We start from the raw sequence: 18,580 nt of genomic DNA, 5'->3' as shown, positions 1-18,580 counted from the left end.
TTATAAGTAAAATGTATAGAATGAATAAATAAATGTATATAAATGCTATTGAATTAATTTAAAAGCACTATTTATAGATTTTCATATATTTTCTTAAATACTAAAAGAATAATTGTATGTCAGATAATTGTGTAAATTATAACAGTAAAAGTAGACTTCATACTTGAACAAATTGGAAATATACATTGTAAAATTGCTTATTTTCCTACCTATAAACTGTTAATCTTCTACACATGATTGAATAGCAGATAAAGTAAAAAGTGACTCAGGCAGTTTGATGTAGTATAAAAATACTAATCTGGTGTCAGTGAGGCCTGGGTCTAGTTTAAATCAACTAATCTTTGTGGAGCTACCTATTTGGGGCTAAGTACAGTGAGGAATACTACAGTGGTATTGTCATCAATACCATTGTATTTGTACAATGTACTCAACGTTGTACTCATCTTGAAAGAGGTAGTTGAGCTATATTCTGAAACATGGGTAGGATTTGAACAATCAGAGGCCTTGAAGAAGAATCAGTATGATATAGAAATAGGCATAGAGTGGGGTAGAACGTGGTTTTTGGTGAAGAAATTCTTTTTGGCTGGAGCAGGAAATATATAATAGCCAATAAGACTGGAAAATAAAATGCTGGGGTCAGCTTCTGGCAGTGTAGGAGCTTGGATCAAGCTATAGTAAGCTGTGGAAGATTTGTGAATAATGATACTGGAGTCATGTTTCCTTCTTTTTTTTTTTTTTTTTTTTTTGATAGAGTCTCAATTCTGTCACCCAGGCTGGAGTACAGCGATGCTATCTCTGCTCACTGCAACCTCCGCCTCCTAGGTTCAAGCGGTCCTCCTGCCTCAGCCTCTCGAGTAGCTGGGATTACAGGTGTGTGGCACCACACCCAGCTAATTTTTGTATTTTTAGTAAAGACGGGATTTCACCATGTTGGCCAGGCTGTTCTCGAACTGCTGACCTCAGGTGATCCACCCACCTCGGCCTCCCAAAGTGCTGGGATTACAGGCGGGAGCAACTGCAGAGTCATGTTTTTTAGAAAGATACCAGTATTCATTACATTATTAACTTTAACAGTATTTAGGTAAGTCACATAGCTTTTGGGGCCTTTTGAAGATTTAAATTCTTCTTTTCTTCTCTAAGAATATTCTTTGAAACCCATGTCAGAAATACAGATTCTTTTTTTTATTTGAGAAAATTGGATATGAGAAAATGCCTTAAATAAATTAGAGGCTGATTCTTCTTATATTTACTTCTAGCCTCTTTTAAACAGGAGCTTTCTTTTTTATTTTATAATATGACTAACTTTATCTTCAGCTTAATAAATATCCTTGATGGTATTAAATGTTTTTGAATGAGAACTATAGAAGTATTTCTTGCCATCTCAGGTTTATGGTACAAATTGGAAAGAAAATTATAGATATTTGAGGTTTCCTTGAAGCTCCAAAAGTCTATAATTCAGATTGTTTTCTGTACCTTACTTTGGTTTATTTAACTAGCTCATCAAATCAATCTTTAAAATTAGTTTTAAAGTGAGTTTTAGCTAGTGTCTCAAGTTGTTTTTAGAAAGAAGCTGTAAGGATTGTTACTAGGTAGTTTCTGCACTTAGATACATAATAATTACTGATAATGATTTATTTACCTAAAATAGTTCTTTGGGAAATAAATAGTTCTTCAGGAATGGGTTGGTTCCTGCTCCTTAAATTGGCTATCTGTCTTTATTGTTATGTTTTTGTTGTTTTTTTTACAAGGTCTCACACTGTTGCCCAGGCTGAGTACAGTGACACAATCATGGCTCGCTGCAGCCCCAACCTTCCAGGCTCAAGCAATCCTTCCACCTCAGCCTCCTGAGTAGCTGGGACTACAGGTGCACACCACCATACCTGGCTAATTTTTAAAAATTTTTGTAGAGATGGTTCTCACCATATTGCCCAGGCTGGTCTTGAACTCCTAGACTCAAGTGATCTTCCTGCCTTGACCTTCCAGAGTGTGGGGATTATATGGAGCCATTACACCTGGTCTATTGCTATGATTTGACTGTTAGATTTACTCAGGAGAATATTTGTGGTAATTTTTTGGAAGATCGTAACTTGAACCATGATTCAATTGAGCTAATACTGTTTCTTTTGTCTTTGAATAGTTGGAACTGATAATGGGAGAGAAGCAATTGAAAGTGGGGCTGCATTTCTCTTCATGACATTTCACTTGAAGGACTCTGTTGGTCACAAGGAAACAAAGGCTATCAAACAGATGTTTGGCCCCTTTCCTTCATCATCTGCCACTGCAGCTTGTAATGCTACTAATCGAATTATTTCTCATTTTAGTCAAGATGATCTTACTGCTCTTGTGCAGATGACAGAAAAAGAACATGGCGATAGGGTTTTTTTTGGTAAAAATTTAGCATTTTCATTTGACATGCATGATTTGGACCACTTTGACGAACTGCCAATAAATGGTGAAACTCAGAAAACTATAAGCCTAGATTATAAGAAGTTTCTGAATGAACATCTCCAGGAGGCTTGCACCCCAGAACTCAAGCCTGTGGAAAAAACAAATGGCTCCTTTTTGTGGTGTGAAGTTGAAAAGTACCTAAATTCAACTTTGAAGGAAATGACTGAAGTGCCAAGAGTAGAAGATCTTTGCTGTACTTTATATGATATGCTTGCTTCTATTAAAAGTGGTGATGAACTTCAGGATGAGGTATAGTTGAAATGATTTATTTTTTTATATTAATGTGAACTATCCTAATGAAATAGTGTTTTTTAAACATGGGTGGTTAGCAAAGAAAGTTCTTTAATGTTCTGTATAGTAGTTGAATCTATAGCCAAATGGTTTCACATAGCAGGCCTGTATATACGTTCCTAATGGATAGTTACAGGAGGTCTGAAAGTGTAATGAGTGTAGCAGAGGAGTAAGCAGACAATAGTTGGGTGTCCACATGCTCTGGTTACTGGGACAGTGCTGGTTTGATGTCAACTTAATTTTAATACTGGACAAATTGAATGAGTAATATATTTCATGAAAGATTAAGAGGGATGGCCTACTGTTGTAGAAAGGACAGGCTTTGAAATCAGTTTGTTCTTCCCTTTCCACTTACTGGTTGTGACACTTTAGGTAACTTAATCTCTCAGAAGCTCAGTTTTCTTGTTGGGCTATCTCAAGGAGACACCAATATCAAGATAGATAATTGTTATAAGGATTGAATGTGATATATGCAAAATGGTAAGTAACATGTTAAATAATCATTATGTGGTAGCTGTGATTATTTTTGTCGTTATTATTGGAATTAAGAATTTTTAAATCACATTGAGTATTGGAAATACAGAAAAAATACTAGCTGTATTTTTCAGAGAAAAATTAATTTAGAGAATTAGCTAAGTAGGTATTGGAGGACTTAACCCATAGGTGTTATGCCAACTAACATTAGTTTGGAAGTAAGATATTATATCATTAATTCTGTGATCAGTCTTTTTACTGTGAATGTTTTACACTTGGTTTAATTTTTATCAGATCTGTTCTCACTATTAAATTTTCTCTAACATTCTGAACATAATATTGTTTTAAAAATTGTGATTTACGAAGAAAATTTTACTAATATTTGCTCATCATAATTGAATACATAGTAGTTATCCAATTATGATTATAATAAACTGAAATTTATAAATATCTAATTAATGGATATTTTATTTTCTTAGTAAGCCATAAAACCATTACTTTCACTTCTGAATATCTATAGTAAGTTTGTATTTCTTAGTCTTTCACCACAATTTTAAAGTATGTAACTGAATCTGATTGTTGGAAGGGGAGTATTTGTGCTAGATTTTTTTCATAATAGCTTCATTTGTCATATATTTATTGTATGCTTATTGTATTGCTAGGTACAGTGCTATTTACTGAACATAAAAGGATGAATAAGATAGCAAACTTGTTCTCAGAATTAATTGTCTAGCAGGAGGAGACATGTCAACAAGTAACTGTACTGAAATATCATAGGTATTATAATACTACATGCAAAGAAAATGGGTGCATAAAAGAACAAGTCATAGATTTTATAGAGGTGTTAGTATGGTAGCAAAAGTATGCATAGAGAAGGTTAAGCTTGAACCAATTCTTAAAATATGACTAGATTTAACTCTTTCAAGTGGACCAGAAAGGTAGGGAGCATATTTCAGGCTTGAACACTGTTTTCAGAGAGCTGTAGCTCTGTACAGCAAGCATGCAAGATGCAAAGGTGGAGTGCTGAGAAACAAGGGTATGCAGATAGGTAAGAGCCAAAGGAGGTGAGGGCTGAGCGCCTTGTTAAGGTGTATGACAAGCCACACTGAAGTCTGCATAGTCTGGTTCAATGATTTTTTTCAACCAGGGTTAATGGATAGTTTAACATGTAAGTTGATATTTCACATCCTGTCAGTGGCTTGAGTGGTAGTTCTGTATAGTTTTATGTAGTCAGTGTTTTGGTTTTCCTGTTCGTATATGAAAATGGACAATCATTGTCATAATTTTTGTTCTGCAGTATAGATTATTCATGCTTTATATTTTAGATACAATTCTTTGCTGTTATATGTTATATTCTGTTGTTATGGCAAATTTTCAGTATAATTTTCAAGTGATACTTCAGGAGTTTTCTACAATTGTTTCCCTACAGTTGTTTCACTGCGGTTGTTCTTGACCAGTGTTGTTTTCACTTTAGGGTGTGCGTGCTATACCTTATGTGTTGTCTATTTACTTCTAAATACTTAAGCCTGGAAAGAGGATAATTAAAAAGGCCATCAGTTCATATGATAACAGTTAATTTCTATTTCTTTTTAAGCTTTTACTTGACTCTTTATTTAAATAGGAATATTTATGTAGCATGCTGTGTGCTCTTGCTCCAGAAATGTAGCAGAACCATGGGAATATTTTTACATATAATCTAAGAAAAGCATATAAAGCTACTTCTATGCTGATGGCAAAAATTCTTCTCAACCTGTGGTTTCCCAGCTCTGAATAGTTAATTGACATAATGACTAATTGATGATAAATCCATTTTTAAGGGCTAGCTATTAAAGTCTTTTTTAAAAAGACCTTTATGTTATTGTTAAACTAGTGTTAGAAACATGGGAATAAAAAGTATATTCATATGATTACATTTACCACAAAGACTGTGTAAGAGAGATTTCTGACTGAAACGTGGAGAGGAATAAGACTAATGACAATAGTAATAATAATAACTGACATTAATATGTGACATAAGGCATTATGTTAAGTGCTTTATGTGCATGACTTCATTTAATCTTTATAGCAGTGCTTTGAGATAGGCAGTGCTGGATTAAGATGTTAGAAGCCCTAAGAACTGAAAAGGTTACACTCTGAGGCATTTCTCCTCCTCTCCCATATGTGATTAAAATTTTTTTAAAAATAGCATACTAAAGCAAACATAAGAAAATCTAACAAAATTTCATTTATTACTGTGGTGACAAAGTTGATGTCTTTTTCAAACATCAAGTTCCGTTTTGAGAAGTTTTTCTAACTTTCCTGGTCTGCTTTGCTGGTACCTTAAGTAAATGCTTTGTCCGTCCCATAGATTATTGCTCTCTGGTGGCAGGTATTTTATGGATTAGCAAATTGAGTTTAGAGATGTTGGGAAATTTGTCTGGAGTTACAGAGTAGACAGTGGATCCAGGATGTAAATTCAGACATTCTGACAAAGTACACAGGCGCACTGAAGTTTAAGTAGATTTGTACATATTCCTGTGTTTTGAAGCTAAGCATCTTAAATTTATGTAGGGGAATTATTGACATCTACTCTTAATTCACAATTTCTTTAGAAACAAGATCTTTTCCTTTTAGAGTTTCAAATAAGGAATTGGCTGAAATAAAAGGATGAAACTTTTAGATCCTGTTAAAGATAAATTTTAATAATTCCTCAGGGAATTTATTACATAGAAAGCACATCTATGTTCTCCTGTTTTAGACCTGTTTAAGATGAGTTTTAATTATTCCTCAGGGAATTCATTACATAGAAAGTACATCTGTGTCCTCCTGCGTGTTGTACTAATAAAACAACCCACTTCTTAGCTTTTGCCAATATCATCCCCTTTTCCCTCCCTACCTTGAGCCTCTATGTTACTTTCTTCTAAGAGCATTTCTTCTTTTGGCTTCTGTAATTTTCCAGGTAAGACTGTAGGCATTATGATTAAGCCTTAGAATTTGATTGGCTAGAAATCTTTAAGGTTCTTTATGTTCTTGAATTTTATTCACTTTTAGAAGTGCATTTTAACACCCGGAAGTGAATAAGACTTGAATATTCCATGTTATTTTCTTAATCAAAACCTGTCCATTATTGGTACAGATTGTCTTCCTGCTGCGGGTGTTTCAGAACCAGAATTGTAGCAGTAGGGTTCGTTCTACTGGAATGGTATAACTAATGGACTTTCAACAGAAAATTTTCCCCTAGAAAGTAGTAGTATTAACAACAGTAAAGCTACCAGGTTTTAAGTGCCTGTTATGTATGGACCCGAACCAGGCTTTCTTCTCTGACCTAACCAGCTTCTTCACAGTCCTGCAATGTGTAGGAGTGATATCCTCTTTATAAAGGTTAAAAAAACTGAGGCTCAGTTGTTTACTAAAGTCACAAAGCAAAAGAGTGGTAGAAATTCTGGGACTTTTTTTCTCAGTGTAGATCTACTATTCCTATCTAGTATGCCATCAGATTTTTTGAAGAAAAGAACATTAACTGGCAAGGCTCTTTGAAGGAATTTCTTTTCTTATAAAGCCAGGCCAAATTTTGTCTCTGTTTGCTAATGTCTTATCGACTATGGGCAAATTACTAAGCTCTTGTGAACCCCATTTCTCTAATTTGTGAAATATTTGCTTCACAGTGTTGCTGTGAGGATTTGTGAGATAATATATATGAGACATAATGTTTCACAGACCAGGTTCTCAAGTGTTTGCACCATATAGTTGCACAGTCAAACTTTTATTTAGGTGTATACCTTATATGTCAGTAAATAAATTTTTATCTATGCCTTCTTAGCTATGGATGTTTCAAACAATAAAATGATATTTAAAAGCGAGGTCTTAATTCAGGGACTTATTTAGTTATTTTTATTTTTTTCCTGCCTGGCTTTTTAATGTCTGACTACCCTAAAGAAAATCTTTTGGATTAAGTTTTTGAAGTGAGTTCTGATATTAATAGTTCTTGTTAAGATGGAAAAGATGTTAATAAAAACACACTTGAGAAATATGTAAAGTGGGATCTGAAAGGCTAGCATATTGGAGATGTATTGAAGTATACATATCTCAGTATTATTTCAATATTACATGCTATTTGCAAAGCTATTAATGCTGATGTAGATACTGATAGAGTTATTGTATAATCAGTTTTTAGAAAAAGAGAGTTTTGAGTTTTATTGATACAACCGTAGTTTGCTTTTGTGCAGATGGGCTGCTTCTTTATAGCATTTGTGATTTGACATTTGCCGTTAGTATTATCTCTTGACTCTATGCAGATGGCGTTACTTGACCCATGCAAGTTCATTTCTGAACCTCCAGATATGTGTCTGATGTCAAGCAGTGTGAGTTATTTGGTTAGATTGTCTTCTGAGGGAAGACTGTGTATTTTTTGGAACTTATTTGCATTGGAAATGATTCTATCATCCTTTGAAAATTTGGTGGAGAATAATTAGCTTGCTTTAATACAGTGATTCTCGTTTTTTGTTCTCAAAACTCTTTTGCACTTTTAAAAATTACTCAGAACCTCATAATTTTTCTTTATGTTATTGAACTCTATTGATATTTGTCATATTTGAAATTAAAATTGAATTTTTACTATATTAATTTAATAAATGTCTATTAAATCATTTGTTTTTTAGTCTTTCTTATTATTCTTTCAGAGACAGAGTCTCATTCTGTCACCCAGGCTGGAGTGTAGTGGCATGATCATAGTTTACTATAACCTGTAACTCCTGGGCTCAAGCAATCCTCTTGCCTCAGACTCCCTAGTAGCTAGGACTACAAGGATGCCTCACCACACACAACTAATTTTTTAAAGAATGTTTTGTAGAGACAGGGTTCTGTGATGTTGTCCTGACTGGTCATGAATTCCTGGCCTCAAGTGATCCTCTCACCACGGCCTCCTGAAGTGCAGGGATTGCAGGCATGAGCCACTGCACCCAGCCCCAAATCATTTAAAATAATAATACTAAATCTATCATATTACTATAGTATAAATAACATTTTTATGAAAAATAACTATTTTCGAAAATCAGAAAAAAAGTATGAAGAGTGGCATTATATCATATTTTTATAAATCATTTCAATGTTTGGCTTAATAGAAGACAGCTAGATTCCCATATATACTTTTGCATTCAGTATATTCTGATATCACACATTACATTATGTAGCCTCTGCAAAAGTCCACTACATTACACTCATGAGAACATGAGAATGAAAAAGTTAAATAATGTTTTAGTATGATTATGAAAACAATTTTCACCTCATATATCTTCTGAAAGGATCTTAGAGATTCTGGCTCACACTTTGAGAACCTCTCATTTAATGTGTGTATTACAATTTGATAAAGAGGTTGTAGTAGTTTTTTTTGTAACTAGAATAGGGTATTTAAAATGTTGCTGTACTGAAAGATTCACATTAGTGCTTTATGAAAAAGTTCTCCATTCATTAGGTGCTGTACATTGTTTTTGGTAGCCTTAATACTGCTGAGCTATGATATCATATCAGCCAGATTGGAATTAAAAGTGTCCTTTCAGCTATGAGGACCAATATGTATTGGTTTTTTGTTGTCTTTTCATCAAATAATCAGAAGAGCCTCTACCCTGCTGCCTGAATTGAAAATTATCCTTTACAAGAATGTTTAGAATCATGGAATTTCTCCATCCAGTGTGGTATTTGTGTGTTTAGAATTCTATGGAAATGGTGATCCTCATGTAATGAGGTATACTTATTCTAATGAAGAGCTTCTTTTATTCAAATGGTATACCATCTCTTTCTGGAGTAGTTATCTTGTAAATTATTTCTTTTGCTAACTGATAATACTCCTACTGCCATTCAGTCCTATATGTGTGCAATGGGGCAACAAAGTCATAGGCATCAACTCCTATATGACTGTCTTTTAGACATATGATGGGTTATGTTTTTCATTCCTTAGTCTTTTTTTTTTTAATATGCACAACTTCAGTTTTCTTTTATGTTGACATTAATCCATTATCAACACAATTTGGATACAGCTGTTTAGTGTTCTAATAGTACTGACATGTAGAATGCTTTTCCCCATCATCTTCAAAGATGTCACACTTCCAGTTGCTTTGCCAATTTAGGAACTGCTAACCTAATAATCTCATAAGAATTAAGATTATTTTGTCATGACTTTTTTTTGTAAATTCACATTGCCATTTGTTGATGTTAAGCTTACAATTAAGTAGTTTTCACAATCCATGACTTTTATCTTTTCTTTTTTCAAATTGGGGACTTTTGCCTTCATCTGACACTTACTATTTTTTAAAAAAATATTTCTCAAGAGATAGCAGTGATTCTGAGATCAAATGTATAAGTGGTTCTTGAACCTCATGATATGCTCTGTCAGGGTCTGCATACCTGAACTCATTTGAAGGGCTAGGATGTTCCTTACTACTATCTCCTTTGCTGTAGCTAGCATTCAATATTTATGGGTTTTGTTCCGCTCTTTTCTGTTTTAAGCTAATATTCTCTGTAGGAGAAGATGCAAGCAAAAGGATTAGTAAGAGAATGACTCTTTTATCTTTCCGAAGGAAAGAACATTTTTTGATTTGTTTCTTATTGTGATTTTGCCACCATTTTTTCTCTTATGTCCCTCTAGTTTTCTCAGTTTATGGCTACTAATGAAGCCACAGTATTTTATTAGATACCAATCAATTTTTTCTCTTTTTTTTTCAGTATAGTGATGGAAATTTCAATTTTTATTGCCACCCATTCTTTATACAACTCGTTTTCTAATTTTGAAAAATATATCCATAATTTTAGAAAATTTAGGTCTTGTATAAGCAGAATGCAGGAACTATATCATCTGTGAACCCACCATTATTCAGTCATAATCACTGCAAATATTTTGGAGTATATATCTTTTAAAATAAAAACACTTAAAAACTAGGTCACACAGGATATATAATTTTGAACCTGCTTTTATGTTCCTTAACATTTTCAATGAGAATAATCTATAATGTAATAATTTTTAATGGTTGCAGAGTAGTATTATTATTTGCTATTGAAGATTCAAGTTTTATCTAGTTTTTTACTGTTATAAATAACATTGCAATAAAGACTCTTACGCTAAAATAACATTGCAATAAAGACTCTTACGCCAAAAAAAAAAAAAAAAAAAAAGCCTGGCGTGGCATGTGCCTATAGTCCCAGCTACTTGGGAGGCTGAGGTGGGAGGATTGCTTGAGCCTGGGAGGTTGAGGCTTTAGTGAGTCATGACCATGCCACTGCCCTCCAGGCTGGTGACAGAGTGAGCGCCTGTCAAAAACAAAAACAAAAAGACTCTTATGCTAAATATTTACTCAGGTGTATATAAACTTTTTGAATGTACTCCTATCACTAAAAATTTTGCATACAAAAGTACTCACTGGTTTTGGGTGGAGAGTTATTTGGATCAGATGTATCTTTTGTCTGTCTTTAATTTGTGGGTATATATCTGAATATGTTCATACTGTATACTCTAAAGTGATATGCCCATTTTCTCCCAAGTTTCTTTTCACTTCCACATTGTCTGCTATTTTAGGTTATTCATTACTATTTTTACTTTAAAAGGGATAAAATTTTCATGAGGAAAACTCAAGAATCCTGTGTTCTACTTTTAGCTGACTGTGATGTTTAGGAAAGATCAACATAGTTGAAGTAATTTATCTGCTATTACAGATCTTTGAAGTTTTATAATCTGTATTAGGAAAACCCAAGCCATATATTTTATTGATCTTGGTTGTATGTTGCTTTTTTCCCACTTAAGAAAAAACTGCAGTTGGTAGTCCTTTTAAAGAGAAAGCTCCAGTGAGATAGAGAGATGAGCATAATACTCGAAGAGCTGTATATGGAAGAAGGGTGGTCCAAGGGTTATAACTAGGATTTCTGGGTAAAAAATATGTAAGGACAGATCTCAGCTCAGTCAAACCTTTTCAATTTTCAAAGTCCTTTAAATATACCAACCTCTTTTGGCAAGTAGTGAGACTTGTTATTGAAGATTTAGAAGAACATGCTGAATCATCACTTTTGTTGTGATTTGTGGAAAGTCTGATTTTTATGACTTTTAAGATACCTGTCAACCTGAAGCATTTTTGAGGCCATATATTGTCTTGTTATAGATGTGGGTAAAAAAGCATTATTAATATATTAAGCTCACAATGAGGAGCTTAAATATATGTTTCCAATTTATGGCAATAACAGATTTTGAACTAATTTGCTCTTGATTGGAATGGTTGCTCAAGGAGTAAGACAAGTTTGACAAATTTCATACTACTCTGTTTGATACTGTTCACTCATTCATTTATTCAGTCATTAATTCTGTACTCTGTGCCAAGTACTTTTAAGTTTGGGGACATAAAAGGTATCTAACAAAGTTTAATCAACCTCCTCCCATTATCTTGCTTTCTTAAGTCTCTCCTTTTGGATCTTTCATACATACATTTAAGAAGGGAATGCTGGAAAATTGTATGTGATATAATGAATGTTGTTAGGAATGATTTGGAAGAGCACATGGATACTTGGATTAGATGTATGGAGAGTTACATGTAATATATTGATATGGGGAAGAAATAAGATAAATGCATTTTATTAGTAAAACAAAGATATGTTTCTGTTAATCGTATTTGAGATAAATAAAAACATTTTGGATAATATCAGTTTGTAAACATAAATAAGTATGGTTATTAGATTTAGAAATTGCTGTAAGCATTCACTCAAATATTTAAGATTTAATACATAAATTTTAAGTTATATATATATGTGTATGCATGCATGAGCACATACATACATACACACATAATGGTTGAAATTTGTCTTCTGAGACAATTAATATCAGAATATCCTTCTAAGAATCAAGGAAGCTGTCAATTTGCCATATACATGAAAATGTAAAGTAAGCTTTTAAATATGTAGTGGTACCTAGCTTTGACTTATTTACTATGCAGCTAATTATAGTATGTGGGGAATAAATAGTGTTCACATTCCAAGTTGTCTTAATTAAGTTGTAAGTGACCTTGGTTTTAGCTTTGTAAATTGTTGTGTAGATTAAGTACCTGTAAATAATGAGCATTAGTTATTCTGTAAATATAATTTATCTAATTCTCTGCAAACAGCCACAATTTGCATAGAAATTCTTCTTAAGAGATAAATAAATGCTGTCATAATTTTCATGGTCATTTTCTTATGTTATTTATGACCTTATTTTATAATGTATGAATACTTAATAATTTTCTATGCCACAATTCAGAGTAAGAATAATTTATAAAGTTTTAAATAACATTATCTGCTATTTATAATTATCCATATTCAGATCCATATGAACTGTCAATTCAAAACTGTTTTCAGGTTTTAACATTTTCTTCTCTTATTATACTTCATATTATTAGTTTTCAATATGCATATTTTAAAATTTCACATGCAAATCTAAAATTGCATCATATCTCAAAGAAAGACATTTCCTAAATTGCATAGTTTTTCTTTGCATAGTATGCTTACTGTAATTTATAATGTATGCTGTTTATTACTTTAATGTATAGAACAACTTTAATTTTTAAAAACTTTTTTGGTCATACTATTTACCATGTTTTAAAATTTTTTTAAATTTTGTTTTTAATGGACACATAATTATGCCTCTTTATGGGGTCTAGTGTGATGTTTCAATACATGTATACATTGTTTAAAAATCAAATCAGAGTGTTTAGCATAACCATGACCTCATACATTTATCATTCCTTTTTTACATTAAAAATCCTCTTTTCCAGCTTTTTTGAAATACCCAACACAATATTGTTAGCCCTAGTCATCCTACTGTGCACTAGATAGGCCATAACTTATTCCTCCTCTCTAACTGTAACTTCGTACCCATTGGCCAAACTCTCCTTGTTCTCCCTCCACCCCCAATCTCCCCAGCCTCTGGTAATCACTATTGTACTCTCTCCTTCTATGAGATCAGCTTTTTTAGATTCCACATGTGAGTGAGATCAAACAGTATTTGTCTTACTGTGCCCGGCTTATTTTACTTAACATAATGTCCTCCAGGTTCATCCATGTTGTTGCAAGAGACAGGATTCCATTCCTTTTTACAGCTGAATAGTATTCCATTGTGTATATACTATATATTTATCTATTCATCTGTTGATGGATGCTTAGGTTGATTCATATCTTGGCTGTTGTGAATAGTACTGCAGTAAATATGGGAGTGCAGGTATCTCTTCATCATACTGATTTGTTTTCCTGTGGATATATACCCAGTAGTGGGATTGCTGGATCATATGATAGTTGTATTTTTAATTTTTTGAGAAACCTTCATACTGTTTTTCATAATGGTTGTACTAATTTACATTTCTACTGACAGTGTATAAGAGGTCCCTTTTCTTCACATCTGCACCAACAGTTGTTTTTTGTTCGTTTGTTTTTTGTCTTTTTGGTAACAGCAATTCTAATTGGAGTGAAATGGTACCTCATTGTCATTTTGATTTGCATTTCCCTGATGATTAGTGATATTGAGCATTTTTTTCCTATACCTGTTGGCCTTTTGTATGTTTTCAGAAATGTCTATTCAGATTTTTTGCTCATTTTTGATGGATTATTTGTCAGATTATTTTGCAATCGAGTTGTTTAATTTCCTTATTATTCTGGATATTAGCCTTCCTAAACACGTAAACCCTACCAAAATTGAATCATGAAGAACCAGAAAATCTGAACAGACCAGTAACAAGTAATGAGATGAAATCAGTAATAAAAAGTCTCCCATCAAAGAAAATTCCAGGATCTGATAGCCTTTACTTCTGAATTCTGCCAATAAAGGCCTTGTAATAGTTCTACTCAAATTATTCCAAAAACTTGAAGAGGAGTGGATACTTCCAAAGTCATGCTACAGGCTAAGCACTATCCTGATACCAAAACCAGATAAGGACACAACGAGAAAAGAAAACTATAGGCCAGTATTGCTGATAAACATAGATGTAAAACATTCTCAACAAAGTACTAGCAATCCAAATTCAAAAGCACATTAAAGGGATCATTCACCATGACCAAGAGGGATTCATCCCAGGGATGCAAGGATGGTACAAAATATGCAAATAAATAAACATAATATATCACATGAATAGAATGAAGGACAAAAACTTCCTGATCATTTCAGTAGATGCAGAAAAATCACTTGGCAAAATTCAACACCACTTCATGATTAAAACCCCTCAACAAATTAGAAGGAATGTACCTCAACATAACATAGCTAATATATGACAAACCTATAGCTAACATGATATTGAATAGGGAAAAGTTGAAAACTTTTAAGATCTGGAATAAGATGAGGATGCCCACTTTTGCCACTTCTATTCAACATAGTACTTGAAGTCCTAGCCAGAGCAGGTAGGCAAGAGAAAGAAGTAAAAGACATCCAATGTGGGAAGGAAGGAGTTAAATTGTCCCCGTTTGCAGACAACATGATCCAATCTTATGTATAGGAAACCCTAAAGACTCTTAAAAAACTGTTAGAATAAAATTTAGTAAAGTTCCAGGATATAAAATCAACATACAAAAATCAGTATCATTTGTATATTAATGCATTAAAAGCAAACTATCTGAAAAACAAATCAAGAAAACAATTCCATTTAAAATAGCTACACATACACAGAATACCTGAGAATAGATTTAATCAGGGATGGGAAAGATCTCTACATTGAAAACATATAAAACATTGATGAAATAAATTGAAGAAGATGCAGATAAATGGAAAGATATTTTGTACTGGTGAATTGGAAGAATTAATGTTGATTACATGTGTATACTCCTAAAGTGATCTATAGGCAGTTCAATCCCTGTCAAAATACCCGTAACATTCTTTACAGAAATAGAAAAAACAATCCTAAAATTTGTATGGAATCACAGAAGACCCTGGATAGCCAAAGTAATCTTGAGGCATCACACTACCAGACCTCAAAATATACTTCAGAACTCTAATAATCAAAAGAGCATGGTACTGGCATAAAAATAGACACAGAGACCAATAGAACAGAATAGAGAATGCAGAAATAAATCCATGGGCTTATAGCCAACTGATTTTTGACAAATGTCCCAAGAAGACACAATGGATAAAGGACAGTGTCTTCAATAAATGGAGCTGGAAAAGCTGGATATTCATGTGCAGAAGATTGAAACTAGACCTTTATCACAATGTACAAAAATCAACTCAAAATAGTGTAATGACTTAACTGATATCTGAAATGATAAGTCTACTAGACAACAACATAAGAGAAATGCTTCTTGACATTGATCTGTGTAAGGGTTTTTTTGGATAAGACCCCCAAATCATAAGCAATAAAAGCAAAAATAGACAAATTGTATTACATCAATCTAAAAAGCATCTGTACAACAAAGGGAACAATAAACAGAATGAAAATACAGCCTAAGGAATGGGAGAAAATATTTGCAAACTATTTCTGAGAATAACTCTAATTTTTGAAATGCATGTTCTGTGTAATTAAAGAGGAAATGTATGGGTTTTCTTCAATTGGTAAGAATCAGAATGTGTCTTTTTTTTTTTTTCCTCGAAGGCTTATTGGGTAGGCACTGATGCATTATATGGTTTTTAGATGCTTATACTATGCCTAGAAACTCAGCCAGATTCGAGAATTTGGAAATTATTCTGTGTTAATAGTTAACATTATTCCAGTTTCATAAAATAAACTTCTGGAGCTTTCTCTTCTGTTTTCAAAAGTTTCTGTCAGAAAACAGTTATCTATCCATGAAAGTTTAATACTAGTATGCCTCTGAAATAATACAGCCCGATCTCTTTTGGAGGACCAACTTCAATTACCAATTTGAATTTTCCAGTAGTTGTTTGTTTATTCAGACTTTCTATTGCTAAGTTGTTTGATAATTATATATTTTTGAAATTAGCCATTTCTTCTGAGTACTTAGCTTTTTGCTATAAAGTTGTTTGTAATGTGCTCTTATTTTAAAAAAATTATGCTAGCTTTTAGTTATATTGCCTCTTTCTTATATCTGTCTCTTCTATGCTTATCTCCTTTTTGCTAGCATTGTGTTTGCCTTGTTTTCAGAAAAGCAGCTTTTGTTTTGTTGCTCTTTTCGTTATTTTTATTTTTCCCACATATGTTTTGGGATTTAATCATACAGCATGTGTTCCTTATAATAAGACATCTGACAGTTTTCCAGTTTTTAAATACTGAAGAGGTTGGGATAAGCCTAAAGGTCTTCTAATTAAACCCAGTGATGACAAATATACTTCTTTCACAATGACAGTGGGTTTCTTCTTTAAAAATGTTAGACTGTTTACAAATACTTGTTTCCTTATGCTATCAATAGTAATTGTGCTAACATTTGAAATATTCTAAGCATTTTTATTGTATGTGAAAAATAAAATAAATTCTAATGTGAAATTCCAAAAGAGATTTATATTTTACGACCTAATGACAAATCTCATAGAAAACAACCTTGTATTAGTCACTGATTCCCTCCTTTTATTACTTATTCATTTTTTCCACAAAGATTTGATAAGCATCTTTTATATATAAGACATTTAGCTAGATAATTTTTGTTTAAACCACACTCACTCACACTGTCACCCAGGCTGGGGTGTAGTGGTGCTGTCTCGGCTCACTGCAACTTCTGCCTCCCGGGTTCCAGCGATTCTCCTTAAGTAACTGGGATTACAGGCACGCACCACCACGCCTGGCTAATTTTTGTATTTTTAGTAAAGATGGGGTTTTGACATGTTGGCCATGCTGGTCTCAAACTCCTGACCTCAAGTGATCCACCCTCCTGGGTCTACCAAAGTGCTGGGATGACAGGCATGAGCCGCCAGGATTTCAGCCTTTAAAAGCGCGCGTCCTGCCACCTTTCACTGCGGCCCTTCACTCTGAATGACACATCCTTCAGTTTTACAAACATTTACCAGCATTAAGGGAATAATCATTTTCATCGATAATAGCTTTACAATTATTTTTTTCTTGAATTTTATACCATATTTTGTATTTAATTAATAAACTAATTTTTGGAGCAGTTTTACATTTACAGAAAAAATAAGTGAAACGTATAGAGTTCTTGTATATCTACTCCCCTTATTTTCTCCTAACATCTTGTATTAGGGTAGTACATTTGTTATGATTGATAAGCCAATATTTACACATTATTATTAGTTGAAGTCCATAGTTTACCGTAAGATTACAGAAGGATTCACTCTTGGTATTATACATTGTATGGGCCTTGACAAATGTATACTGGTATGTATCTACCATCACAGTATTATACAGAATAGTTTTACCACCCTAAAAAGTCCTTTGTGCTGTACCATTTCATTCCTCCCTTCCCCTGTAGCCTTGGGAACCACAGATCTTTTTACTCTTACCATATTTTTCTTTTTCCAGATGTCATATAGTTGAAATCATATAGTATGTTGCCTTTTCAGATTGGTTTCTTTTCTTAGCATTACGCATTTAAGATTCCTCCATGTATTTTCATGGCTTGACAGTTGTGTGTTTTTTTAGCATTGAATAAAATACTCCATTATACAGATATAGTACAATTTGTTTATTCATTCACCTATTGAAGGATATGTTGGTTGCTTCTAAGTTTTGGCAATTAAAAATAAGATTTTTAATTTCATTAATTAAGCTTTATATTTTATTTCCTTCTTTGTTTTTCTAGTATAGCTCAGCTGTATTTATTTGTGAACACTTTTCTCATTTCCACTCTTCAAAATTTCTAAGTGGTGCTTTAACTGTATTTCATTTGCTGTGTAGTTTTTATTGTTTAATTGTAATCCATAAACTAGATGAACATCTTTTAGTTTCTAAGCTTTTGGGTTTATCATTCTTCCCCTACCCTTTTATATTGTCTGTGGGATTGATAATATTTTTATATTCCCTTTTATTCTCTTTCTGGTTTAGGAGCTAATAGATTGAATTTTACGTCTGGTGCATACTCTTAAATTTGTTTTAAACATGAATGGGTAGCTATGAATGCTTCTTCCAACCACTGAATACCTTCCTTTTGTCCATCTTACTATTTTTGAGAGCTTTCTTTCTTTTAAGTTAAAAATGATTTATTCATTTGAGTGTATAATTAAATTTACTGGCATGTTTTATAAGTGTGCTCTTCCTTTCTTATATTCATGATTTTCCTTTAGATTCATTTTTCTTCTTACTACAGTACTTCATTAAGAATTCTTTTAGAGAGGTTCAATGGGTGCTAAGTTTTTAGTCTTTGTATATCTTAAAGTGTTTAAATTTTTTTCTCATTCTTGAATAATAAGAATAATAATAGTTTGTTGGCAATTACATTCTAGGAAGATTATCTTTCTCTCAGCACTTAAATGTATCACCCCACTTCCTTCCAGCATCAT

The 18,580-nt window shown here is 32.9% G+C and overlaps 1 protein-coding gene across 5 annotated transcripts in view; it reads left to right on the top strand.

Annotated features, from left to right (window-relative positions):
• Nucleotides 1-18,580, top strand: part of ASCC3 (activating signal cointegrator 1 complex subunit 3) — a 373,136-nt gene that overhangs the window by 30,485 nt on the left and 324,071 nt on the right. For all 5 annotated transcript variants that reach the window (NM_006828.4, XM_011535394.4, XM_047418108.1 and 2 more), the window contains one exon: nt 2,138-2,697. In NM_006828.4, the coding sequence (NP_006819.2) occupies nt 2,138-2,697 (560 nt within the window). The remainder of the gene's footprint in view (nt 1-2,137; nt 2,698-18,580) is intronic.

The sequence above is a fragment of the Homo sapiens genome, chromosome 6, assembly GCF_000001405.40.
Source record: "Homo sapiens chromosome 6, GRCh38.p14 Primary Assembly".
Taxonomy (NCBI): domain Eukaryota; kingdom Metazoa; phylum Chordata; class Mammalia; order Primates; family Hominidae; genus Homo; species Homo sapiens.
This window is presented reverse-complemented; position numbering and strand designations above follow the sequence as displayed.